At 62.7% G+C, this 25,907-nt stretch overlaps 1 protein-coding gene across 3 annotated transcripts, besides 5 other annotated features; it reads left to right on the top strand.

Moving 5' to 3' along the window:
• MED16 (mediator complex subunit 16) lies at positions 115–25,339 on the top strand. 3 transcript variants are annotated; one of them, NM_005481.3, is made up of 16 exons: positions 115–216; positions 2,153–2,339; positions 3,058–3,165; positions 3,495–3,664; positions 7,101–7,532; positions 8,294–8,399; positions 11,588–11,743; positions 13,154–13,365; positions 16,122–16,328; positions 17,848–18,058; positions 19,720–19,853; positions 21,184–21,376; positions 22,049–22,265; positions 24,356–24,439; positions 24,803–24,886; positions 25,051–25,339. In NM_005481.3, exons 2-16 carry the CDS (start codon positions 2,171–2,173, stop codon positions 25,199–25,201), a joined length of 2,634 nt encoding a protein of 877 aa, NP_005472.2. In that variant the 5' UTR covers positions 115–216; positions 2,153–2,170; the 3' UTR covers positions 25,202–25,339. The 3 variants fall into 3 exon arrangements, with proteins under 3 accessions (NP_005472.2, XP_016881609.1, XP_047293966.1); XM_017026120.3 differs by lacking the exon at positions 16,122–16,328; XM_047438010.1 differs by lacking the exon at positions 16,122–16,328 and having other exon boundaries at positions 24,803–25,339.
• Positions 128–397: a silencer, noted in NCBI's record as "silent region_9626". NCBI's record gives its function as "represses an Ori minimal core promoter by ATAC-STARR-seq in GM12878 lymphoblastoid cells {active_cell/tissue: GM12878}" and the evidence as "EXISTENCE:reporter gene assay evidence [ECO:0000049][PMID:35858748]".
• Positions 448–497: a silencer, noted in NCBI's record as "silent region_9625". NCBI's record gives its function as "represses an Ori minimal core promoter by ATAC-STARR-seq in GM12878 lymphoblastoid cells {active_cell/tissue: GM12878}" and the evidence as "EXISTENCE:reporter gene assay evidence [ECO:0000049][PMID:35858748]".
• Positions 6,957–7,457: an enhancer, noted in NCBI's record as "H3K27ac hESC enhancer chr19:885845-886345 (GRCh37/hg19 assembly coordinates)". NCBI's record gives its function as "activates a minimal SCP1, AML or CMV promoter by ChIP-STARR-seq in naive H9 embryonic stem cells {active_cell/tissue: H9 hESC(naive)}" and the evidence as "EXISTENCE:reporter gene assay evidence [ECO:0000049][PMID:30033119]".
• Positions 7,458–7,958: an enhancer, noted in NCBI's record as "H3K27ac hESC enhancer chr19:885344-885844 (GRCh37/hg19 assembly coordinates)". NCBI's record gives its function as "activates a minimal SCP1, AML or CMV promoter by ChIP-STARR-seq in naive H9 embryonic stem cells {active_cell/tissue: H9 hESC(naive)}" and the evidence as "EXISTENCE:reporter gene assay evidence [ECO:0000049][PMID:30033119]".
• Positions 21,500–22,079: an enhancer, noted in NCBI's record as "H3K27ac-H3K4me1 hESC enhancer chr19:871223-871802 (GRCh37/hg19 assembly coordinates)". NCBI's record gives its function as "activates a minimal SCP1, AML or CMV promoter by ChIP-STARR-seq in primed H9 embryonic stem cells {active_cell/tissue: H9 hESC(primed)}" and the evidence as "EXISTENCE:reporter gene assay evidence [ECO:0000049][PMID:30033119]".
• Positions 25,340–25,907: the final 568 nt, after the last annotated feature.

Here is a 25,907-nt window from a genome sequence, read left to right as displayed (position 1 = left end):
ACGGTGGCTGCTGGGAATTACTGGAAATGGTCGTATGCAAATAGCCCCGGAGGCGGGGCAGAGCCTGAGCCGCACCGCCCTCCCAGAAGTCTTTGGGAGGCGGCCCCACGCCTCAGGCGACTGGTTGTTACCGAGGAAGATGGCGGCGCCAGACCCGAGGCGCTAGGGAAGATCGCACCGCGGACGCCCGCTGAGCTTGGCGCACGGGCCGACCAGGTGAGTGCGGGGCTGCGGGGGCCCGGCGAGGGCGGACGGACCCCTGACCGTGTCCACGGACCCGAGGGAACGCGGCGCAGCCGTGGCGGGGCCTGCGGGGTCGGGGGCGTGGCCGGGAGCAAAGGCTGCTGGGTAGGCGGCCTGGGGCGCGGGGCGCGGGGCGCGGGGCGCGGGGCGCGGGGCGCGGGGCGCGGGGCGCGGGGCTCGGGGCTCAGGGTTTGCGGCGGAAACCTGGGGGAGGCCTGAGGCCCGCGGGGCTGGGTTCGGGGCGGGGCCTAAGGAGAGTTTGGGGCGAGGCTGAAGGCGCTTGGTGGGACTTCGGGGGCGGGGCCTGGAGTGGGTTTGGGGTCGCCGGGGTGGAGCCTGGGGACTGGGGGGCTGTAGAGGCAGGGCCTGGAGACTGCGGGGTTATCGGTGCGGGGCCTGGAGAGGGAATAGGGTCCCTAGGGTGGAGACTGGGGACTGCGGAGTTATAGGGGTCTGGAGAGGGTAGGGGGTCCCTGGGATGGACCCTGGAGATTGGGGGTTATAGGGGCGGGGCCTGAAGAGGCTATGGGGTCCCTGGGATGAAGCCTCGTATTTGGGGGCAATAGGGGAAGGGCCTGGAGAGTACGTGGGGTCCCCGGGGTGGAGTCTGGGGACTGGGGAGTTTTAGGGGTTGGGCCTGGAGAGCTAAGGGCGTTGGAGGCTGGACCTGGAGAGTACATGGGACCCCTACGGTGAAGCCTGAGAATTTAGGGTGAGGCCGTGGGCTCAAGGGGTGAAATGAAGTGTGGGAAGCAAAGGGGGTCAGGGGTGGGGCTGAAAGACTTTTAGAGGCTTGTGGCGGAGCCTTGGGGGTCTGGGGCAGGCCCTGAAGAAGTAGGGAGCCGGGGTTAGGGTTTGAGGAGAACCTGGTTGCGGGTGATTCCAGGCTCCCTGGGCTTTTGCCTTTGCGAAGCGAAACAGCCCGTCTGGATGCCAGGCGCTTAGAAAGCCTCGAGGAGGTGCCCCCTCTGTTCCCTGTGACACTCAGCCCCCGCCTCGGCCACAGGTGTTCCCCAACACACTCAGCCCCGCCTCGGCCACAGGTGTTCCCCGTCACACTCAGCCCCGCCTCGGCCACAGGTGTTCCCCGTCACACTCAGCCCCCGGCTCGGCCACAGGTGTTCCCCATCACACTCAGCCCCGCCTCGGCCACAGGTGTTCCCCGTCACACTCAGCCCCCGCCTCGGCCACAGGTGTTCCCCGTCACACTCAGCCCCGCCTCGGCCACAGGTGTTCCCCGTCACACTCAGCCCCGCCTCGGCCACAGGTGTTCCCCGTCACACTCAGCCCCCGCCTCGGCCACAGGTGTTCCCTGTCAGTCAGCCCCGCCTCGGCCACAGGTGTTCCCCGTCACACTCAGCCCCGCCTCGGCCACAGGTGTTCCCCGTCACACTCAGCCCCCGCCTCGGCCACAGGTGTTCCCTGTCACTCAGCCCCGCCTCGGCCACAGGTGTTCCCTGTCACTCAGCCCCGCCTCGGCTACAGGGAGCCGCCCCACCGCTTGCCTGTCTGCGGGCTCTTCCTTCGGGAGAGAGCTAGTGTCCACTTGCTGCCCCCATCATCACTCACCTGGGCCAGCGCAGACCCTCCGCTGCGTCTCCCGGCTGTGCCCTTGGCCCCCATGGTCTGTTCCCTAGACAGCCAGAGGGGTCCTGGTGAAACCCAAATAGGTCCCAGCCCTCCCGGGCTCCCACCTTACTGAGAGTAGAAGCCCACAGGCCCAGGACTGGCCCTGACCTCTCCATGTTCCCCCTCGGCCCCAGCCCCAGGCTCTGTCTGGCCTCCGGGCCTTTGCATCGGCTGTTCCCTCTACCACGGGCCTCCATTGTTTTCCCACTTCTGGCCTGGCACTCCACATGCCCTGGGTGCTCAGCCAACATAGACGTCCCACCACACCTCCCTCCCGCAGGAGCTGGTGACTGCCCTCATGTGTGATTTGCGGCGGCCAGCGGCAGGTGGGATGATGGACTTGGCCTACGTCTGTGAGTGGGAGAAATGGTCCAAGAGCACCCACTGCCCATCGGTGCCCCTGGCCTGCGCCTGGTCCTGCCGAAATCTCATCGCCTTCACCATGGACCTGCGCAGCGATGACCAGGGTGCGTCCCCCTCCCACCTGCTTCCCCTCCCGGCCGCATGGTGTCCCGCCCTGTTCCCCAGGTGCCCGGCCCACTGCCTTGAAGGGACTCGGTCTCTCAGGCCACCTCTCACTCACCCTGGCCCTCCTCTGTAACTTGTGTGAGAGCCTCAGCCTCCTGGGGGTACAGAGGGTGGATTCAGTGCCCCCCAAACCTGGTGCCAGGAGACATGAGATCGCCCCGTGTGCGGGATCGAATCGGGCTGGAGCGTTGGTTGACGGAGGCTTGTTGGAGACACGTGCCCCAGTTTTCTAGACGGTGTGTGTCACTGGTTTTTGAAAGGTGCGTGGTGGCTGTGCCCGTCTTCTCTCCATTGTTTGAGTAATAGGCACTCATAATACGTGGTCATTAGAGAAAACTAGAAAACCACAGAAAATTGGAATCAAATCGGGGTGCAAAAAAGCCACCTATTATCTGCTGTGGAGAGGCTCCCACTGTTCACATTTCGGAGTCATTTTCTTCTAATCTGGTTTTAAAGACACAGTTGTGGCGCCTCACAGGCCTGCTCTGTTCCTGCGGGGGGACAGCCTGTTCCCTGAGCTGTCGACTCGGCTGACAGCAGTTCTGTGACCTTCCTGGGGTGGGACACACACCGGCTTACCTGGAGCCTGCCTGGAGTCATCGTCATCGTCTGCAGGCTGTGGTGCCAGGCCGTGCTGACCATGCCCCGTCCCCACAGACCTGACCCGCATGATCCACATCCTGGACACGGAGCACCCCTGGGACCTGCACTCGATCCCCTCAGAGCACCACGAGGCCATCACCTGCCTGGAGTGGGACCAGTCAGGTGAGGCGCTGGTCCCACGTGGCCAGGGGTGGCGACCCGGATCCCGGAGCAGGGGGGCCCTGTGTTTCTCCGGTCAGTCTGGAGTCCGGCGCTGGGTCTAGAGCCCCTGGTCTGCAGCTTTGCACCTGCTGCTCTTTCCATAGTGGCCCGAATCATTCTTGTTCAGGGTGTCTCAGGGCATCTCTGGAGTGCGCCTTGTGCCACCTGCTGTGCCCTACCTGGGCCGAGACCTCTCCACTGGGCTGGCTTCCCCCAGGCGCTGTGCCGTCCTGCAACGCAGTGCTCTGCCCATCCCTGGAAGGTTCGCAATGATGGCTTCTTGCCCTCAGGCTCCCGGCTCCTGTCAGCAGATGCCGACGGGCAGATCAAGTGCTGGAGCATGGCGGACCACCTGGCTAATAGCTGGGAGAGCTCAGTGGGCAGCCTAGTGGAGGGGGACCCCATTGTGGCCCTGTCCTGGCTGCACAATGGTGTGAAACTGGCCCTGCACGTGGAGAAGGTGAGTGTCCTGCCCGAGTGAGCGGATGAGGCAGATGAGATGTCACCCTACCCAGCCACCCGCCAGCCCCTCTCCTCTCCATCACCAGCATCCCCTGGTTTTTTGGACCTTGCACTTGGCTCCCACCTGCAGTCCGGCTGTCATTAGCACCTGTGTGTTCAGTGGCCTCTCATTTAACTGAGGGTGGCTGTTCACTTGGCCCCCACCTGCAGTCTGGCTGTCATTGGCACCTGCGTGTTCAGTGGCCCCTCATTTAACTGAGGGTGGCCGTTCTTAGTGAGTTATCTCTTTCACTGGAGGCTACTGTCCTTAGGTAGCTGCATGTATAACTGGTGGCTGCTGTCTTCTGAATGCAGCCCACCCTCTGATTTAGTAACATCCCAGAGCCCCTCTCTATGCTCCCTGTGATTCGGCCCCACAGGTAAGAGTAGGCGTGGCCAGGGTTGGGGGGGACAGTTAAGATAGGCGTGGCCAGGGTTGGGGGGGACAGTTAAGAGTAGGCGTGGCCAGGGTTGGGGACAGTTAAGAAGTAGGCGTGGCCAGGGTTGGGGACAGTTAAGAGTAGGCGTGGCCAGGGTTGGGGGGGACAGTTAAGAGTAGGCGTGGCCAGGGTTGGGGGGGCACCTGGGTTCAGGCTCTGACTCCTCACCTCTGTGTGTCAGTTTCCTCACTGACGGCAGGGTCTCGGGGATGTTCGTGGCAAAGGCCTCACAGCCACCCCAGCTTCGTGCCTCTGTGCGTCTGCTTGTGCTGGGGCTCTCGCAGGAACTAGGAGGCCTTCCTGGAGGGATGCAGTGGACAAGATCTTTTCTCTCGTCCCTTCGTGAGTCCCTCCCCAGGGACTGCCATTGTCGGCGCATTGCCGCAGTACACGCAGCACCGGCTTCGTGCCACGGGGGCCCTCCGGGGTGCACTCCCCACCCTGCGGTCCCCGTTTGTCTGTATTTCCTGTTTTTGGTAACAGTTTTGTCGGGATGGAGTTCACAGACCTTAGAACTCACCCATTGAGAGTGTGCAGCCCACACGGTCCAGAGGTTTCGTATACACTCGCCATGTTGTGCGGCCACCACCATAGCTAACCTCAGACCTTTATCTTTTTTTTTTTTTTTTTTTGGAGACAGAGTCTCGCTCTATCCCCCAGGCTGGAGTGCAGTGATGCGATCTTGGCTCACAGCAACCTCTGCCTCCTGGGTTCAAGCGATTCTCCTGCCTCAGCTTCCTGAGTAGCTGGGATTACAGGCACCCACCACCACACCTGGCTAATTTTTGTAATTTTTTAGTAGAGACGGGGTTTCACCATGTTGGCCAGGCTGGTCTCGAACTTCTCACCTCAGGTGATCCGTCTGCCTCAGCCTCCCAAAGTGCTGGGATTAGAGGTGTGAGCCAACGAGCCCGGCCAGACCTTTATCTTTTTTGTTTGTTTGTTTGTTTTTTGAGACAGGGTCTTGCTCTGTTGCCCAGGCTGGAGTGTAGTGGCGCGATCTCGGCTCACTGCAGCCTCTCCCTCCCGGGCTCAAGCGATTCTACTGCCTCAGCCTCCTGAATAGCTGGGATTACAGGCGCCCGCCACCACGCCCGGCTGCTTTTTTGTATTTTTAGTAGGGACCGGGTTTCTCCATGTTGGTCAGGGTGGTCTCGAACTCCTAACCTCAGGTGATCTGCCTGTCTTGGCCTCCCAAAGTGCTGGGATGACAGGCGTGAGTCACTGTGCCCAGCTTCAGTCCCTTCTCATCACCCGAAAAGGAAACCCAGTCCCCATCCTGCATCACCCTGATCCATCCCCCACCCCAGCCCCCGAGACCCAGTTGTCTCTCTGGATCTGCCTGTCCTGGACATTCATAGAAACAGGATCACACACTGCGTAGCCTTCTGTGTCTGGCATCTCTTACTGAGCGTGATGTCCTCAAGGTGCATCCCCGCTGTGGCCTGAGTCAGAGCCTCGCTTTTTAAAATAACCAAATACATTTTTTTTGAGACAGAGTCTTGTTCTGTCAACCGGGCTGGAGTGCAGTGGTGCGATCTCGGCTCACTGAAACTTCCACCTCCCAGGTTCAAGTGATTCTCCTGCCTCAGCCTCCCGAGTAGCTGGAATTACAGGCACGCACCACCGCGCCCGGCTAATTTTTGTATTTTTAGTAGAGACGGGGTTTCACTATCTTGGCCAGGATGGTGTCGAACTCCTGACCTTGAGATCTGCCCGCCTCGGCCTCCCAAAGTGCTGAGATTACAGGCGTGAGCCACCGCGTCCGGCCAAATTTTTGTTTTTTAATTACATTAATAAAAGGCACATGTGCTCCTTTAACATAGTCTCAGACATGCCAGCCTGCGACCCACACAGACGTGTGGTGTGGACACCAGATGAGTCGTCGCCATGGCAACCCCTCACCACCAGGCCTGGCTTGCTTCCTGGACTTCTGGACCTGCTTCTTGCTATAAGAAGTGTTTTTTTTTAACTTGTAACTTAGAATGGAGCCGTACGATACGTATGATACACTTCTCTTCCTCGCATTTTTTCACAACGTAGAGACATTTTTCTTGTTCTTTTTTTTTTTGTTTTTGAGACAAAGTTTTGCTCTCGTTGCCCAGGCCAGAGTGTAATGGTGTGATCTCGGCTCACTGCAATCACCACCTCCTGGATTCCAGCAATTCTCCTGCCTCAGCCTCCTGAGTAGCTGGGATTATAGGCACCCGCTACCATGCCCGGCTAATTTTTTTGTATTTTTTATTAGCAACAGGCTTTTACTGTGTTGGCCAGGCTGGTCTTGAACTGCTGACCTCAGGGGATCCACCTGCCTCAGCCCCCCAAAGTGCTGGGATTATAGGCGAGAGCCACCGTGCGCAGCCAAGACCCCATCTTTTAAAAGACTCACGTTGAAAGAAGGGTGGATGTTTCCGTATGTCAATAATGACTTGACAAATTTGATTTGAAATCAAATAGTGCCCGCAGCAGCCGCTGGTGCTTACACAGCACTTCCTGAGTGCTATAGCTCAGGTCTGCACAGTGCGGCCCAGGGCCTGACGGCCCCCGCCTGGGTTTGTGAGTGTGGCTCATTGGCACCAGCTGCCTGTGTGCCGCCACGGCAGAGCCAGAGCCAAGTCGTTGCAACAGGGACCACCTGGCTCCCAGAACCGAGCATGCTGCTGTCTGTCCCTTTACAGAAAGGGGAGGTGACTCCCGTTGCGCACACGTTCACCCGTTTAATCCTCCCCACTGTCCTCTAAAGCAAAGGTGCCGTTCCTTCCACCTTACAGATGAGGAGACGGAGGGTCAGAGGGGATCACATCCCACACGGCTCAGGTGGCCGAGTCAGGATCTGAACCCAGGTGCACACACTCCTGGCTTCTGCGTGGTTCTTCTGTGCGCGTGTTTCTGGGGGTCATGGGGCAGCCCCCATGAGCCTGAGCGGCCCCTCCTCCCTCCCTCCCTTCTCCACAGTCGGGCGCCTCCAGCTTCGGGGAGAAGTTCTCCCGAGTCAAGTTCTCACCGTCGCTCACGCTGTTCGGCGGCAAGCCCATGGAGGGCTGGATCGCGGTGACGGTCAGCGGCCTGGTCACCGTGTCCCTGCTGAAGCCCAGCGGGCAGGTGCTGACGTCCACCGAGAGCCTGTGCCGGCTGCGCGGCCGCGTGGCCCTGGCCGACATCGCCTTCACCGGCGGCGGCAACATCGTGGTGGCCACGGCGGACGGCAGCAGCGCGTCGCCCGTGCAGTTCTACAAGGTGTGCGTGAGCGTGGTGAGCGAGAAGTGCCGTATCGACACGGAGATCCTGCCCTCCCTGTTCATGCGCTGCACCACCGACCTCAACCGCAAGGACAAGTTTCCCGCCATCACCCACCTCAAGTTCCTGGCCCGGGACATGTCGGAGCAGGTGAACGGGCGCAGGCCATCACGTGGGCTGGCAGGCTTGGAATGAAGCACTGCTTCTCAGGGTCCTGGGGGTGGAGACCCGCGCGGGCCTCCACGGGCTAAACCGTGGTGTGGGCAGGGCCGGTCCCTCCCGGGGGCTCCAGGGGAGAACCCATTTTCTGCCTTTCCCAGCATCTGGAGGCGCCCAATCCCTCGGTTCGGGGCGCCTTCCTCCCGCTTCGTGGCCACAGCGCAGCCTCTTCCTGTCTCTGAATCTCAACCTCCCACATTCTCTCCTGAGGACCCTGTGAGGACACTGGGGCCCCCGGACCCCCCCCAACGTGCTCTCCCGTCTCAGTGTCCCGAACCGAATCCCACCCGCAGGTCCCTTCTCTGTGAGAGGCGGCCCAGCCACCGGTCCTAGGGCTGAGGATGGGATGTTCTGGGGGCCACTGTTGAGCCGACCACACCAGGTCGCCTGGATTCCTGTTGTAATTAGGAATCAGTAACGCCCCAAACTCCTTGAAGCCCCTGACTTGGTTCCCTGTGTCCCTTTGCTGTCCCTGTGGGAGGGCACCATCCGGGGACATTTGCGTTCCTGTGAGTGGATGTTGGGCTCTGGGGACAGGCCTGGGCTGGAATCCAGGAGGGCCCGAGGGGCAGGCGTGGCTGAAGAGACAGGCCCAGCAGTGCGTGGCCCCAGGGTCCCGCAGCTCAGGCTCCGGTGGTGGCGTGGCCACCACAGCAGTGCCGGGTCAGCCCTCACCCCCACCTCCCCCGCAGGTGCTTTTGTGCGCGTCCAGCCAGACCAGCAGCATCGTGGAGTGCTGGTCCCTGCGCAAGGAGGGACTCCCCGTGAACAACATCTTCCAGCAGATCTCCCCCGTGGGTGAGTCTCCCGCCGGCTGCGGAGGCCCTGGGCCTGCCCTCGGGGGCGGTTGGTTTTTATTTTGGAGGCAGGTCTTGCTGTGTCACCCAGGGTGGTCCTGAACCCCGGCCCTAAGCGATCGTCTCGCCTCGATCTCCAGTAGTGCTAGGATCTCGGGTGTGACCGCGCGCCTGCCAGCATTCTGAGTGTGTTAGGCGTATAGACTCCTCCATCCTTCCACGCCCGCTGCGGCGGCTGCCACCATTCTGTGCGAGGCCGAGGCTGAGAGGTGTCGTTGCTCAGCCAGCGGGGACACCGTGAGGGGCTGCAGGCGTGTGGGCGGCTGTGGAGCGTGGGTCTGTGGGTGGGGCCGTCGGGCAGCAGGGGACAGGCCAGACCGGGCAGGGGCGGTGCACGGAATCCTCCGGAACCTGGTTCAGGGAGAGGAAGCCAAGGCTCAGCGGGTCAGCTGAGGCTGCTGAGAACACGCCCCCCACCCCACCCCACCTCTCCAGCAGCCTCTTCTGGGGCCCCCATTCCCATCTCTATCCGCCCGATGGGCCCCCCGCACCCACGGAGCCAAGCCCGTCATCCCCACCTCCGGCACAAAATCCTGGGGCTGGAGCGAAGCAGGGACGCCCGCCTGCTATGACCGGGGACCAGAACAGCCGCTTGGTTTTCAGAGCCTCGGAGGCTGCGGGCCTGGTTTTTAGGCTGGCCTCCGCTCTGGAGAAGGGAGATGTTTTCCCGGTAGATGAGAGCACAGGCATTTGCCGATTAGCGCTAATGGACCCTGGAGTGGCCAGACGTGGGGGCACGTGGGGCAGGTGGGGCAGGCGCTCCTCAGAAGCCACTAATGAGCACGTGTCAAGAGGCCCCGATGGCTCCCGGGGCCTGCAGGTGGTTATGTCAACTGCCCATTGTGGCCGCAGAGGCAGTAAAGGTGAAGAGGGCCACTGCCATTCCTTCCCCCAGGGCTTGTAGTGAGTCACCAGGCAGGTGAAGAGGGCTGCTGCCATTCCTTCTCCCAGGGCTCGTTCCTTCGCCCGGTCCCCAGGGCCTTGTTGGGCCTCATTCCTTCCCCTGGGCCTCGTGGTGAGTCACCAGGCAGTTTGGGCTGCGCTGGCTCCTGCAGCAGCACCTGGCGCCACCCCGTGTGGCTGCACAGACCTGCACCTTCACTGCCCGGTGCCCCCGCTGGGCACGTCTGTGTCTACCATCTGCCCACAGCCAAGCCACTGGGCAGTCCTGGGCTCCGACACTCCTCCTCGTCTCCTGCAGCCGTCCTCACCTGCTGGCCCAGCTGTTACCCGCCCGAGAGCCACGTCTCACACACATGCCACAGCCTTTCTCAGGTCTCACATCCCTGGCAGCTGGGGGTCACTGGGACAGTCCCCACCGCACCCATCTCTCCCCCATCTCTCCCCCTACCGCCCCACGTGCCCACCATGCCAGGCTTTGGTCCCCGCCATGCCCAGCTCTTCACGCACCGCCCCACGTGCCCACCGTGCCAGGCTTCGGTCCCCGCCATGCCCAGCTCTTCACCCACCACCCCACGTGCCCACCGTGCCAGGCTTCGGTCCCCGCCATGCCCAGCTCTTCACCCACCGCCCCACGTGCCCACCATGCCAGGCTTCGGTCCCCGCCATGCCCAGCTCTTCACGCACCGCCCCACGTGCCCACCATGCCAGGCTTCGGTTCCTACCATGCCCAGCTCTTCACCCACTGCCCCACATCCCCACTTAGCAGCTTAGCTTCTCCCTGCCTCAAGTCCCCCCTCATTTAGGAATGCTGACCGCAGCCGTCAGTTGGATGGAGGAGGGGATGTAAATCGTGCTGTGAGGGTACCCTGGCCACTAGCTGGGGGTGTGGTCGTCATGGCAGCTGCCTCCCCCGGCGCTGGGGCGTTGAGTTTCCTGTCTTTCCTATGAGAGGCTCAATTCCATGAGGGCCAGCCACCCCTGACCACTGTGTGCCCTCTGGGCGTCTCAGCCACTCTCTGGGCCTGTTTCCCCCCAGGGAATGCTGCTCACAGGACCCCTATACGGGTTTGCAGGAGGTCAAGGCTCTGTGACCGTGATGGCCCGTCCGGGGCAGAGACCTCATGATGCGGGTGGCACAGAGCAGCTGCGTGGTAGTCAGCTTCAGCCGAGTAACAAGCCAGCCCCAAACTGAGCAGCTCAGGCCAGCAGCCCTGCACTGTTTCTGTTTCTGTGGCTGCCTCAGCTGCGCTCTCCTGGTTCCCACGTGTCTGCGGTTAGCAGCCGAGGTGGCGTGGCCTGTCCACTGGCCGCACATGCTCCAGCAGGCCGGCTCCAGCTGCCCTCCGTGTCCCACATGCAGCCACAGCAGGACCCCCCACACGTGCTCTCTGGGCCACTGTTTTTGTTTTTTGTTTTTGAGCTAGGCTCTTGCTGTGTTGCCCAGGCTGGAGTGCAGTGGCGTGATCTTGGCTCACTGCAGCCTCATCTTCCTGGGCTCGAGCAATCCTACCTCAGCCTCCTGAGTAGCTGGGACTACAGGCGTGTGCAGGCGTGCATCACCACCACACACAGCTAATGTTTACTGTGTTTTTTTTGTAGAGAATGGGGTCTTGCTGTGTTGTCCAGGCTGGTCTTGAACTCCTGGACTCAAGCCATCCTCTGGCGTTGGCTTCCCAAAGTCTTGGGGTGGCAGATGTGAGCTGCTGTGCCCGGCCATGTCACATTTGCTAAGGCTTGGCCTGAGATTCCCAGAAGTCTCTGCCCTGTTGGGAGGAGCTGCGTCTTCACGCAGGGGCTGTCAGGCAGCGGATCTGTGGGTGCGACCATCCCGCATGGCTTTATTGGAATTGTAGATGAGGAGGGATGGGAATCCCGGCTGAGCTGGCTAAGGCCGAGCGAGTGTTAGGGTTTGCATGGCTGCAGGTCTGAGGTGGCGCCGTCTCCCCACTGTCTGCCCCATCGGGGGTGAGATGGTGCCGGCCCACAGGTTTCCATGAAATCCCAGGGCCCACCTTGGGTCACGTGCCCATCCTGGAACCAATGAGTGGCCGAGGCACGAAGCGCTCGGATTGGCCGGGCCTGGTCTTCTGGGCATGGGAGCAGGGCGGCATGAGACCTGGGAAGGGCCCTGGGCAGGTTGCACACCAGGCCATGCTGGACTCCTGCGGCTGTCTCAGCCTGTCTTTACTCCATTGCCTTCCTGTTTTCCTGCCCCTGATTTTTCAGTTGGCGACAAACAGCCCACAATTCTCAAATGGCGGATCCTATCGGCCACCAACGATCTGGACCGTGTGTCGGCCGTGGCGCTGCCCAAGCTGCCCATCTCGCTCACCAACACCGACCTCAAGGTGGCCAGCGACACACAGTTCTACCCTGGCCTCGGTACGGTGGAGCCAGCGGCAGCCACGCGGGGCCTCAGTTCACACCAGGGGAGTTGGGCCCTGAGCACAGGCCACGGGGTCGTGGGAGCTCACACCAGAGGACGTGGGCTCTGAGCACAGGCCATGGGGCTGTAGGAGCTCAGCCTTCTGGGTTCTGATGGGTTCCCAATTAGGAGGCAGATCTCATCTTTCGGGATCTGTGAGGCTGGCAGACAGATCCAGTGTTCTTTAATATGTAAAGAGTCATTGCAAATCAACAAGGGAGCCTGGGGAACTTGGTGGAACTCCTTCCTGGGTAGGCGGCATGTGTCCTCTCTGTGCTGCAGCAGCCATAATGTGGTCCTGAGCTCAAACCGTGGCATCCGTGCCCATGAGTGAGTCTGCACACTCTTCAGTGCCTACCCTATTTGCTCAGCTGTAAAATGTGGACAAGTCGGCCCTAGCTCAGGCCCTTTCTTCCCCCAGCTCCCGTTCTTCCCTGGTTCCCTGGAAAGAGCATTTATCAAAACCCGCTCGGGGCTCAGGGCTGTTCCTCAGAGCCTGCAGAGAGGTTGAGGGGATGCAGTTCCCTGCTCCAAAACCCTTGGTTTATGCTCCATTTTCCAGGCTCTATTTTTTTTTTTCTTTTTTTTTTTGAGTTGGAGTCTCATTCTGTTGCCCAGGCTGGAGTGCAGTGGTGTGATCTCGGCTCACTGCAACCTCCGCCTCCTGGGTTCAAGCGATTCTCCTTCCTGCCTCAGCCTCCCGAGTAGCTGGGACTACAGGCGCGTGCTGCCACGCCCGGCTAATTTTTTGTATTTTAGTAGAGACGGGGTTTCACCGGTGTTGCCCAGGCTGGTCTCGAACCCCTGAGCTCAGGCAATCTGCCCGCCTCAGCCTCCCAAAGTGCTAGGATTACAGGCGTGAGCCACCGCGCCCGGCTTTGCAGCCTCTCTACTGCAGGGACTCCTTTCATATTCTCTTTTCCATGAGCTTTGGGCTCTGGACCCCACCTCCCCCCGGCCCTCGTACAATGGCAGACCCCAGTGTGAGTGACAGCCCCAGCCCACCACCCTAAGATGCCTCTCTTTGGGACGCCAGGAGCCCCAACCCTTGGTCCCCCACCTGTAGTGCCCCCCTCCCCTGCGCTCCTTGAGGGGCGTGTCAGCCAGGACATGGGCCCAGCTGGGAGGGGCGGGGAGGGGCTGGGAGCAGTGTGGCCAAGGCTGCTGGCTCCTGCTCCCCTGGTGCTCAGGGACTGTGTAACTAAAGAAAGAGTGGCTGGGGGCACGGGCGCTGGATGCCGATTGGCGGGGGCTGACCCCCTGGATGGGCAGCCCCGGCTCTCCACACCCTGCAGAGCAGGAGGCCCCTCCCCCGGCGGGCGTGTCCTGGGCCCTGCCCATGTCTAAGCAGTGCCTGTGCCCCACAGGGCTGGCCCTGGCCTTCCACGACGGCAGCGTCCACATCGTGCACCGGCTCTCACTGCAGACCATGGCCGTCTTCTACAGCTCCGCGGCCCCGAGGCCTGTGGATGAGCCGGCCATGAAGCGCCCCCGCACCGCGGGCCCCGCCGTCCACTTAAAGGCTATGCAGCTATCGTGGACGTCACTGGCCCTGGTGGGGATTGACAGCCACGGGAAGGTGAGCTGCTGGGGCACGTGGGGCCGGGGCTGGTGGGCATTGACAACCAGGGGAAGGCGAGCTGCTGGGCATTGACAACCAGGGGAAGGTGAGCTGCTGGGGCACGTGGGGCTGGCCCTGGTGGGGATTGACAGCCAGGGGAAGGCGAGCTGCTGGGGCACGTGGGGCTGGGGCTGGTGGGCATTGACAACCAGGGGAAGGCGAGCTGCTGGGCATTGACAACCAGGGGAAGGCGAGCTGCTGGGGCACGTGGGGCTGGGGCTGGTGGGCATTGACAACCAGGGGAACGTGAGCTGCTGGGGCACGTGGGGCTGGGCTTGGGGGGCATTGACAACCACGGGAAGGTGAGCTGCTGGGCATTGACAACCAGGGGAAGGCGAGCTGCTGGGGCGTGGCCCTGGTAGGCATTGACAACCAGGGAAAGGCGAGCTGCTGGGGCACGTGGGGCTGGGGCTGGTGGGCATTGACAACCAGGGGAAGGCGAGCTGCTGGGGCACGTGGGGCTGGGGTTGGTGGGCATTGACAACCAGGGAAAGGTGAGCTGCTGGGGCATGTGCGGCTGGGGCTGGTGGGCATTGACAACCAGGGGAAGGTGAGCTGCTGGGGCACGTGGGGCTGGGCTTGGTGGGCATTGACAACCATGGGAAGGTGAGCTGCTGGGCATTGACAACCAGAGGAAGGCGAGCTGCTGGGGCATGTGGGGCTCGGCTTGGTGGGCATTGACAACCATGGGAAGGTGAGCTGCTGGGCATTGACAACCAGGGGAAGGCGAGCTGCTGGGGCACGTGGGGCTGGGGCTGGGGCTGGGGCTGGGGGGTATTGACAACCAGGGGAAGGCGAGCTGCTGGGGCACGTGGGGCTGGGGCTGGGGCTGGTGGGCATTGACAACCGGGGGAAGGTGAGCTGCTGGGACATGTGGGGCTGGGGCTGGGGCTGGTGGGCATTGATAGCCAGGGGAAGGTGAGCTGCTGGGGCACGTGGAGCTGCGGCCGGGGCCGGGGCCGGGGCCGGGGCCGGGGCTGGTGGACATTGACAACCAGGGAAAGGTGAGCTGCTGGGGCACGTGGGGCTGGGGCTGGGGCTGGGGCTGGTGGGCATTGACAACCAGGGGAAGGGGAGCTGCTGGGGCACGTGGGGCTGGGGCTGGTGGGCATTGACAACCAGGGGAAGGGGAGCTGCTGGGGCACGTGGGGCTGGCCCTGGTGGGGATTGACAACCAGGGGAAGGCGAGCTGCTGGGGCACGTGGGGTTGGGGCTGTTGGGCATTGACAACCAGGGGAAGGTGAGCTGCTGGGGCACGTGGGGCTGGGGTTGTGGCTGGTGGGCGTTGACAACCACGGGAAGGTGAGCTGCTGGGGCATGTGGGGCTGGGGCTGGGGCTGGTGGGCATTGACAACCACGGGAAGGTGAGCTGCTGGGGCACGTGGGGCTGGGGCTGGTGGGCATTGACAGCCAGGGGAAGGTGAGCTGCTGGGGCACGTGGGGCCGGGGCCGGGGCCGGGGCTGGGGCTGGTGGACATTGACAACCAGGGAAAGGTGAGCTGCTGGGGCACGTGGGGCTGGGGCTGGGGCTGGGGCTGGTGGGCATTGACAACCACGGGAAGGTGAGCTGCTGGGGCACGTGGGGCTGGGGCTGGTGGGCATTGACAACCAGGGGAAGGCGAGCTGCTGGGGCCCGTGGGGCTGGGGCTGGGGCTGGGGCTGGTGGGCATTGACAACCAGGGGAAGGTGAGCTGCTGGGGCACGTGGGGCTGGGCTCGGTGGGCATTGACAACCACGGGAAGGTGAGCTGCTGAGCATTGACAACCAGGGGAAGGTGAGTTGCTGGGGCACGTGGCGCTGGGGCTGGGGCTGGGGGGCATTGACAGCCAGGGGAAGGCGAGCTGCTGGGGCACGTGGGGCTGGGGCTGGGGCTGGTGGGCGTTGACAACCACGGAAAGGTGAGCTGCTGGGGCACGTGGGGCTGGGGCTGGGGCTGGGGCTGGTGGGCATTGACAACCACGGGAAGGTGAGCTGCTGGGGCACGTGGGGCTGGGGCTGGTGGGCATTGACAACCAGGGGAAGGCGAGCTGCTGGGGCATGTGGGGCTGGGCTTGGTGGGCATTGACAACCACGGGAAGGCGAGCTGCTGGGGCACGTGGGGCTGGGGCTGGGGCTGGGGCTGGGGCTGGTGGGCATTGACAACCAGGGGAAGGTGAGCTGCTGGGGCACGTGGGGCAGGGGCTGGTGGGCATTGACAACCAGGGGAAGGCGAGCTGCTGGGGCACGTGGGTCTGGGGCTGGGGCTGGGGCTGGGAGGGTGCCAGAGGGAGGCGCCCCCGGGGGAAGGGACCACAGGTGCAAGCCCCTCGCCAGCCCCTGCCTGCGCTGCCTTGTCTGTGTGATGGGTTCGTCTTGTTGAGCGAGGTCAGTGGGGTGGCTCACAGCACGTATTAGGAGCTTCGTAACTAGGAGCTGTTGAGAGGACCGCCTTTCACGGGGTAGACTCCTCAGGTAAAGCAGACGAGTGTAAGCCTGGCTCGGCATCCAGTGCAGTCGGGGCTCAGGGAGGTTTCCTTCCCTGTTCCCAGAGGCATTGTGCATGACCCTGACAGAAAGGTACAGACGCTACAGACACATGCGCGCACACAGGCCCACACACGGGCGTGCGCGCACACAGATCCACACACGTGCCGCAGCCCCAGGGCCCCATTCCTCTCCCGGCTGAGGGCGCAGCCCCATCTCACCGGGCTCTCCTTGGGCTCTGTCTCTGGCAGCTGAGCGTGCTCCGCCTCTCACCTTCCATGGGCCACCCGCTGGAGGTGGGGCTGGCGCTGCGGCACCTGCTCTTCCTGCTGGAGTACTGCATGGTGACCGGCTACGACTGGTGGGACATCCTGCTGCACGTGCAGCCCAGTATGGTACAGAGCCTGGTGGAGAAGCTGCACGAGGAGTACACGCGCCAGACCGCTGCCCTGCAGCAGGTGGGGGCCCGTGGCAGGTGGGGCCCCGTGGCAGGTGGGGGCCCTGTGGCAGGTGGGGGCCCCGTGGCAGGTGGGGCCCCGTGGCAGGTGGGGGCCCCGTGGCAGGTGGTCCCGTGCCAGGTGGGGCTGTCCCTGTGGCAGGCAGGGGCCCCGTGGTCAGTAAAGTGCCAGCAGCAGGGAGGGAGTTCCCTTGGAGGGTGGAGGAGGTCTCTGCAGCAGTTGTAGAGGTCCCCACGGCAGATGTGGGGGTTGTGGCAGCTGGAGGGGTTTCCCTGCGGCAGGTTGGGGGCTCTATGGCAGGCGGAGGGCAAGAGGGGCAGGTAGCCTGTGGCAGGTGAGGCTGCGTGTGGGGTGTGCTCCCAGAGGCCCGTCCAGGAAAGCTGCACCTCAGAGAAGCAGTTTCCTTCCTTACCTGGGAAGTTTCTTCTGTAACACGTTAAGCCCCACAGGTAAGGCCTGATCCCCCCTGGACGGCTCCCCTCTCCAGTGTTCCCAGTCTGGAGGTATCTTTCTAAGCCATCCTCTCAGAATGTGATGGGTACCAGGATGCACACCCGGTGGCCCTGTGGTGTGAGGCCTCAGCAAACACGGTCAGAAGATGAACACACAGAGACCCGCCCGTCGGAAGGAGAGGAGGGAGCGGATACGGAGGCCCACGTGCCAGAAGGGTCCCTTGCAGTGGTGTGGTTATGTGCCTGCAATCCCAGAGTGTCCTCGAAGGACCTCAGATCTAACGAGCTCAGCCGGCAGCTGCACGTGGGACCAGCCCTCTGAGCTTCACTTGTTTTCCTCTGTGCCATCAGAAACCAATACGAAGATAAAATGGGAAAAAAAAAATCCCATTCACGGCACAGCCTGCCGAGAAACGCGTGAGACCCAGGCGGGGGCTGCGAGGCTAAACCCCAGCGTGGCTGGGATCCGTAGCCAGTGACAGCGCTAGTGATGGCGAGACCTCGCCCTCTCCCTCCTTGGGCCGTCGCTGTGTGCCAAGCGTTTCATTTTTGTTTTTAGTTGTTTCTATTTTTTGTAGAGATGGGGTGTCCTACGTTGCACAGGCTCTCCAACTCCCAGCCTCCAGGAATCCTCCAGCCTCAGCCTCCCAAAATGCTTCAGCTCATTCATTCATTCTCTCTAGACCAGGGTCTCCCCGTAGGCACCACAGACATCGGGGGCTGGAGCAGCCTCTGGGATGGGGGTGTCCTGTTGAGCAGCCTCCCCAGCCTCCACCCGTTACTTGGCAGGGGCACCCCCAGTGGTGACAACTAAAAATATCTCCAGACATCACCAGGGGCCCCCACCAGAGGCAGAGCCGCTCCCAGCTGAGAACCCAGCACCTGGTCCTGTGCGCCTGGTCTTCCGCACCTGTTTTGCCATGAGGTTGCTGAGGTGCAGAGGCGAAGCAGCTTGCCCAGCTGACCGAGCGCCTGGTGTCAGAGTCGAACTGCTCTTCTCCTCAGCTGGAGCCTTGGCGGGCGCCTCTGCTCCGGCCCCTTGGGGTGACCTGGCTTCCTGCCCTCAGGTCCTCTCCACCCGGATCCTGGCCATGAAGGCCTCGCTCTGCAAGCTGTCGCCCTGCACGGTGACCCGCGTGTGCGACTACCACACCAAGCTCTTCCTCATCGCCATCAGCTCCACCCTGAAGTCGCTGCTGCGCCCCCACTTTCTCAACACGCCTGACAAGAGCCCCGGCGACCGGCTGACCGAGATCTGCACCAAGATCACCGACGTCGGTGGGTCCTTTTCCACGCCCGGGGCCTCGAGGTTTCTTTCATCTATTTATTTTATTTTTATTTATTTTTTTTACTCTTTTGAGATAGGGTCTTACTCTGTTGCCCAGGCTGGAGTGCAGTGGTGCGATCTCAGCTCACTGCAGCCTCCGCCTCTCTGGTTCAAGTGATTCTCCTGCCTCAGCCTCCCAAGTAGCTGGGATTACAGGCACGTGCCACCACGCCCGGCTGATTTTTTGTATTTTTAGTAGAGACGGGGTTTCACCATGTTGGCCAGGCTGGTCTCGAACTCTTGACCTCAAATGATCCGCCCGCCTCGGCCTCCTAAAGTGCTGGGATATAGCCTAAAGGCTGGGATTACACCACACCCAGGCTTTTAGAGACGGTCTCACTGTGTCATCCAGGTTGCAGCACGGTGACGCAGTCCCAGCTCAGCGCAGCCTCTGCCTTCTGGGCTCAAGCAATCTCGCCTCAGCCTCTGGAGTAGCTGGGATTACAGACACGTGCCACCACACCCGGTTTTTAATTTTTTGTAGCAACAGGGTCTCACTGTGTTGCCCAGGCTGGTCTTGACCACCTGAGCTCAAGCGATCCTTTCACCTCTCTCTACTCCTGGGGGCTGAGACGCTCCCAGGCCGACACCCGGCACCCGGGTCCTGTGCAGGCAGGTCTGCTCCTCCTTCCGTTTTGCCGTAAGGGGACTGAGGCAGAAAGGCTAAGCAGCTTGCCCAGGCTCACCCAGCACGTGGTGTCCTACTCGCCTCTGCCTCCCAAAGCGCTGGGATTACAGGCGTGAGCCACTGTGCCTGGCAGGCTGTTTCTTTTAAAAATTAGGGTTGCTGGGCGTGGCGACTCGTGTGTAATCCCAGCACTTTGGGAGGCCAACGCGGGCTGATCACGAGGTCAGGAGATCGAGATCATCCTGGCTAACACGGTGAAACCCCGTCTCTACTAAAAATACAAAAATCAGCCGGGCGTGGTGGCGGGCGCCTGTAGTCCCAGCTACTCGGGAGGCTGAGGCAGGAGAATGGCGTGAACCCGGGAGGCGGAGCTTGCAGTGAGCTGAGATCACCCCACTGCACTCCAGCCTGGGCGACAGAGTGAGACTCTGTCTCAAAAAAAAAATTTAGGGTTATCGTTTGTCTGGAGTACCCGGTTGAGTGTGGACACGTGGCACTCCTGGTAGCTGGGAGCCGTGTGCACAGTCATGGTTAGTTCTGTGGGACCACCCTAGTCACCATCCGAGAGGCATCTGTTGGGTGTGTAACCGCCGCCAGCTGCCAGCCGGGGGTGGCTGCAGCTGCACGCTGTGGACATGCCCCTGTGTTCACAGAGTTCACCTCGGAGCAGGGGGCAGATGTGCACCAGCAGGCCGGGCCTGAGCACTGGTGGCCCTGGCATGGGGACCTGCCCACGCCAAGGCCTGCAGGCCGAGAGAAGCTGGTTGGTGCTGAGCACAGCGGCCCCCGGGGGGGGGCAGGCAGTGGGCTCCCAGTTCCTCTCCGTCCGGCAACGCCATCGCCCCCTTCTCGTTCCCGGTGTGGGTCCCCTTGTGTCCTGGTACTGGGTGGGCACTCAGTGCAGGTCGAAGGACCGAGGGGTGCAGTTAGGTCACCCTGTGTGTACAAGAGGCCCGAGCTGACCCGACCCACGTCTCCTTGTAGACATTGACAAGGTCATGATCAACCTCAAGACGGAGGAATTTGTGCTGGACATGAACACACTGCAGGCGCTGCAGCAGCTCTTGCAGTGGGTGGGCGACTTCGTGCTGTACCTGCTGGCCAGCCTACCCAACCAGGTGCGCCATGCTCTCCCCTAAGGCCCCGCCCCCCACCTGGGCCCCCATCTCATCAGGACCCCGCTTCCCTGCCCCTGCCCCTCAAAACCACCTCAGCCCCGCCCCTAGTTGGAGTCCCGCCCCTACTTGGAGTCCCGCCCCTACTTGGAGTCCCGCCCCTGCTTGGAGTCCCACCTCAGCCCCGCCCCTGGTTGGAGTCCCACCCCTACTTGGAGTCCCACTTCCTGAGTCTGTCTCTTCTTAAACCCCCACTTCCTAGCCCTGCCCCACTTCCTAGCCCTGCCCCACTTCCTAGCCCTGCCCCACCTCGGAGCCCTGCCCCATCTCGGAGCCCTGCCCCACCTCGGAGCCCTCCCCCACCTCGGAGCCCTCCCCCACCTCGGAGCCCTGCCCCACCTCGGAGCCCTGCCCCACCTCGGAGCCCTGCCCCACCTCGGAGCCCTCCCCCACCTCGGAGCCCTCCCCCACCTCGGAGCCCTGCCCCACCTCGGAGCCCTCCCCCACCTCGGAGCCCTCCTCTCCATGAAGCCTCTGCTGTAAGAAGCCTTTCCTTGGCCACACCCTTCCTGCCCATTCTCAAAGCCCCGCCTCCCAGGCCCTGCTCCTTCTCAGCCCCACCCCTACACGAAGGCCGGTTCGCCTTGCTTCTGCTGCTGCTGCCCCCACCCCTTACCCTCCCCAGCTCCCTGCGCCTGGGGTGGGCGGCCTTGAAATCAAGTCTCCATCCACACCTCCACCTTCAGTTCTGCGGCTTGTGCGCCCCTGACCAGGGCTCCAACCTCGCCCCCACCCCCCCGCCGGTACACTCTGTCCTGCCCCAGCTGTGATTTCTTCTGCCCCACCCACCCGGCTTCATCCTGCCCTGGGGCCCGCCCTTCTCCACCGCGCCCATCACGGACGGTTTGAAGTCCCTCTCTTCTTTTTGTGGGGCTTTAGGCTGCCAGGGGCCACCCCTGGGGCCTCCCTTCCCTGGTCCTCTCAGCTCCCAGTACAGTCACCAGGGGCCCGGGCCCGCAGCTGTAGGAGGGGGCGGCTGCTCCTCCACGTGCAGGTGGGGATATTGGCCTCAGCCAGAGCCTCGTCTTAGTCTTGTGGACTCTCAGGGATGGGACGACTCTGCAAATGGGGCTGTCCTGGGCCCTGCAGGGCTCTGAGCAGCGTCCCCGGCATCCACCCACTCGGTGCCAGAAGCACCCCAGTCCTGACCACCACAAATGTCCCAGACCCTGCCCATTGCCCCCCGGTCGGGGTTCCACCGACCCCAAGACACTTCATCCCATCGCCATCTGCCCCCCGCCGCCCCAGCCACACCGATGCCTCTTTCGGGCAGGGTTCCCTGCTGAGGCCGGGCCACAGCTTTCTGCGGGACGGCACCTCGCTGGGCATGCTTCGGGAATTGATGGTGGTCATCCGCATCTGGGGCCTTCTGAAGCCCAGCTGCCTGCCCGTGTATACGGCCACCTCGGATACCCAGGACAGCATGTCCCTGCTCTTCCGCCTGCTCACCAAGCTCTGGATCTGCTGTGAGGCACCCCCGCCCGCCCCTCCCCTCTCCCCGCTCCCCGCTCTCCCCTCTCCCCGCTCCCCGCTCCCCGCTCTCCCCTCTCCCCGCTCTCCCCTCTCCCCGCTCTCCCCTCTCCCCGCTCTCCCTTCTCCCCGCTCTCCCCTCTCCCCTCTCCCCGCTCCCCTCTCCCTACCAAAACACAAGTCCTGCCTGAGCCCCCCGCCAGAACATAAGCCCCTGCAGGTGGCAGTGGCTCTGCCTTGATATCTGCTATTTCCCCAGTTCCTAGCACAGGTCCATGCTCTGTGTGGGTGCTTTTGGGATGGCAGCCACTTCCAGGCACCTGTTTGCTGTCTCTCCTTGTCGGGTTGTGTGTATGTGAGGAGGGTGAGCTGTGTCATTCTTACATCCCAGTGTCTGGAAAAGGCACAGTGCTTCCCACATACTTTTTAAGTGAATGAGGGAGTCTCATGACAGGCCAGAGACGGGGAGAGAACTCTGGGGTCACCCAGCCAGGCAGGCAGAGCCGGGGCCCCGACCTGGTGAGAGAACCCCGGGGTCACCCAGCCAGGCAGACAGAGCTGGGGCCCTGACCTGGTGCTCCTGAACTGGAGGGGCTCCCAGCACGTCCCGGGTGGCCGGGCGGTGCCCCAGTCAGGGGTGCTGAGACTTCCGCCACCTCTCTCCGCAGGTCGCGATGAGGGCCCAGCGAGCGAGCCGGACGAGGCGCTGGTGGATGAATGCTGCCTGCTGCCCAGCCAGCTGCTTATCCCCAGCCTGGACTGGCTGCCAGCCAGCGACGGCCTGGTTAGCCGCCTGCAGCCCAAGCAGCCCCTTCGTCTGCAGTTTGGCCGGGCGCCCACGCTGCCTGGCAGTGCTGCCACCCTGCAGCTCGACGGCCTCGCCAGGTGCGTGTGTCCCTGCATTGGTCCCCAAACACAGGACTCCTTCCTCCGTGTCCTGCCCCGGGACCCCCGAATCCACACGGCTCCCTCCCTGCATGTCCTGCCCCAGGTCCCCCCGAATCCACACGGCTCCCCGCCTCCATGTCCTGCCCGGGACCCCCCGAATCCACACGGCTCCCTCCCTCCATGTCCTGCCCCGGGACCCCCCGAATCCACACGGCTCCCTCCCTCCATGTCCTGCCCCGGGTCCCCCCGAATCCACACGGCTCCCTCCCTCCATGTCCTGCCCCAGGACCCCCCCGAATCCATACGGCTCCTTCCCTCCATGTTCTCCAGTCATGGCCATGACTGCTGCTTCCTTCTAGGTGCCCCTAACTCCATCCCCTAGTGGTGTCTTCTGCTGTGTCACGAACCACCCCCAACACGGGCACCCAGCCCTTCCATTCACCCTCTCCCTTTTTTTTTTTTTTTTTGTCTCCCCGACAGGGTCTCACTCTGTTGCCCAGGCTGGAGTGCAGTAGTGCCGTCTTGGCCCACTGCAACGTCTGCCTCTCGGGTTCAAATGATTCTCCTACCTCAGCCTTCCCAGTAGCTGGGATTACAGGCATGAGCCACCACACCTAGGTATTTTTTGTATTTTTGGTATAGAGGCGGTTTTGCAATGTTGGCCAGGCTGGTCTTGAACTCCTGACCTCAGGTGATCCACCTGCCTCGCCCTCCCAAAGTGCTGGGATTACAGGTGTGAGCCACCGCCCCGGCCTTGCCTTGGTGTTTCCTGATTGTGTGTTGGCCTCGCTGTACAGGGCGCCCTGCCTTAGCCTCTGCCCTTAGTCTCTGGCCCCCCTGGATGTCAGGCCTCGCCGTAGATCCCTCTGTGGATGGAGAGAGACGCCTTAGCATATGGCCCAGGGCCCTGCTGAGCAGACACCTCATCAGGAGGATCTCCCGGGGGCAAGAGGTCACCTTGCAGGGCCCGGGGCTGGCCTTTCTCTGGAATGTGCGGGGTTTGGGCAACCCAAGTGTGCTGAGCTGACCCTGGCTGCCCAGCAGCCCTGTGAGGTGGGACCTTGTCACCCCATTTCACGGTGAGGAAACCCAGCCTGGAAAGGGTGGGACCTTGTCACCCCACTCATCTGGGGTCACGCGGTCAGGAAGTGGCCGAGTCAGGATTTGAACCCAGGCCCGTCAGACCCCCAGCCTGTTTCAGACACACGTTTGACAAGGAGCACATGCAAACCCTCTGAGCCACTGATTGCTCAGGGCTGGAATTTTAGAAAACACAGATGAGCAAAAGGAAGAAAATGAAGTGAACCTCCAGCAGCCCTGCTCCGGGGAAGGCCCCGGCTCGGCTCCAGGACCTCCAGGGAAGGCACCCCCGGCTTGGCTCCGGGACCTCCGGGAAGGCGCCCTGGCTTGGCTCTAGGACCTCCAGCATTTTCTTCCTCGTGCTCACTGTGGGAGGGGCCTCCTAATGAGTCACACACGAGGGTTTGGGTTTCAGGAAAAGACTTGATGGAAAGAGAGGACGGTTACGTCAGAGGCTTGTAAACTGGGAAAATTTCAGATATTTAATGAGAGCAGAATAAGCCGGCCCACCCCCACCCAGACCCAGGTCCCCCACCCACCACCGAGGGCAGCTTTTGCCACCAGAATCTTGTCGTTCAGAGGTCCCGGCACCTCCAGGCCGGGTGTCTGGGCAGAGGTGGTGTGGAAGTCCCCATGTACCTGCTTCTGTCCAGCCTCAAATGGGAGCGTCACAAGCACCTTCCCTGCACCTCAGGCTCCCCGGGCACGTGGCGGACCGACCCTCGTCCCTGTGTGGGCCCCGTCCCCTTTACTGGGTCTCTAAGCCTCAAGCTCCCCAGGCACCTGGGAGACCAACCCTCCTCCGTGTGGGGGGTCCCGCCCCCTTTACTGGGCCTGTCTCAGGTGGTCCCGCACCTCCCACCTCACTGTTCACAGACATCTGGGCCCACCTGGCAGATGGTGTGAGGCCGGCCATTCCCTCCACCCCCGCCTGTGGACAGATGCCCCTGCCGGAACCTGGCCTCGTGGTGCCCAGGCCTCCCTCACGTTCTCCCCTCTCCCGCCAGGGCCCCAGGCCAGCCCAAGATCGACCACCTGCGGAGGCTGCACCTTGGCGCTTGCCCCACGGAGGAATGCAAGGCCTGCACCAGGTGAGGGGCCCCCGGAACCGCTGACTCCCAGAGATGTGCCGCTGGGGATGGCTCAGCTGATTCTAGCCCCCACCCAGCGCTCCAGACGGTCAAGGGTGGTGGAGGGAGCACGTCCCAGAGGGAGTGTTGGAGCCAGGATCCCAGGATGTGGAGCAGTTAACTTGGTGTGGCGGGGCTAGTTCAGGGAGCAGCATTGCTGGGGGGAGGAGAAGCATGGGCAGAGGCCCTGTGGCAGGTGGGGACGTGGGGAGCAGGCGTGAGGGACGGCGAGCAGAGGGAGACCTGCCTGGAAGCAAAAGTGGGGCAGGCGTAAGGGAGGCCCGCCTGGAAGTGGGAACCCGCTCAGTGCCTGCCTCCCCGCAGGTGCGGCTGTGTCACCATGCTCAAGTCGCCCAACAGAACCACGGCGGTGAAGCAGTGGGAGCAGCGCTGGATCAAGAACTGCCTGTGCGGTGGGCTCTGGTGGCGGGTGCCCCTCAGCTACCCCTGAGCCCAGCTGCCCCTCAGCTACTCCTCAGCTACCCCTCAGCTGCCCCTGAGCCCGGCTGCTGCAAGAGCCACCGCTCGCCCTGGACTCTCCTCGGCGCGGTTAACCTCAGCCCGCCCTGCAGGGCTGTTGAAGGCCGTGGGCCGGACGCCTGCGTGACCAGCAGAGCTTCTGAGGAAGCCCCTGCCTTTGTCCAGCTGGGCCCGCAGTCCACACACCACTCTCCCAGGACCCCCAGATCCCTGGACCATCTGCATCCAGAGGACCGTCCGTGACGGCCGGGGGTCCAGGCGGACCTTGTGGTGACCCGGCTCGGGCGTCTCCTCGGTTTCCTTGCCTCACCCGCGGAGAGCGCTGAACCTGGACAAGCAGCGGCTGGGAAGGACAGGTCCAATAAACGCCCTCTGCGCCCAGGCCCGCGTCCCTGCCGTCGGTGCCCCCGACCCCACCCACGACCTCGATTTGGTGCCGGGAGCCTGTGTCCTCTTGGCCTGTCTTTAAATCCTTCAGCATTTATGGGGCACCTAGTGGATGCCGAGTCTGGGGGTATCCAAAGTGAGCAGTGGGGACAGGACACAGCAGGCCGGTGGATGGGATGGGGCGGCCATCGTCAGGGTGGCTTCTGTCCAGGCATCTGCCTTTCAGTGTGTTGTCTGCCTGTCTCTATACTGTCTCTGCGTGCTCTCCTTGTTTCTGCGTGTCTCTGGTATCTCTGCACTTCTCTGTGTATGGTCTCTGTGTCTCTGCATGCTGTTTCTGTGTCTCTGCCTGACTCTGTCCCTGTTATGTTTCTCCAGCTGCTCTCTGCTGGAGGTTGCTTAGCCCCTGGGCCAAGTTTCTGCCGTTTCTGTTGCTGTCCCCAGGGGTCCCGCCTTCCGTCTCCAGCAGGCCTTCCCAGCACAGTGGTGCCCCTGCTGTGTGCCGACGGACTCCTCCTTTCTGCAGCTCTGGGGAGGGCAGCGAGGGTGGGGTGAGTGCCCA

This window comes from Homo sapiens, chromosome 19, assembly GCF_000001405.40.
Source record: "Homo sapiens chromosome 19, GRCh38.p14 Primary Assembly".
Lineage (NCBI taxonomy): Eukaryota > Metazoa > Chordata > Mammalia > Primates > Hominidae > Homo > Homo sapiens.
This window is presented reverse-complemented; position numbering and strand designations above follow the sequence as displayed.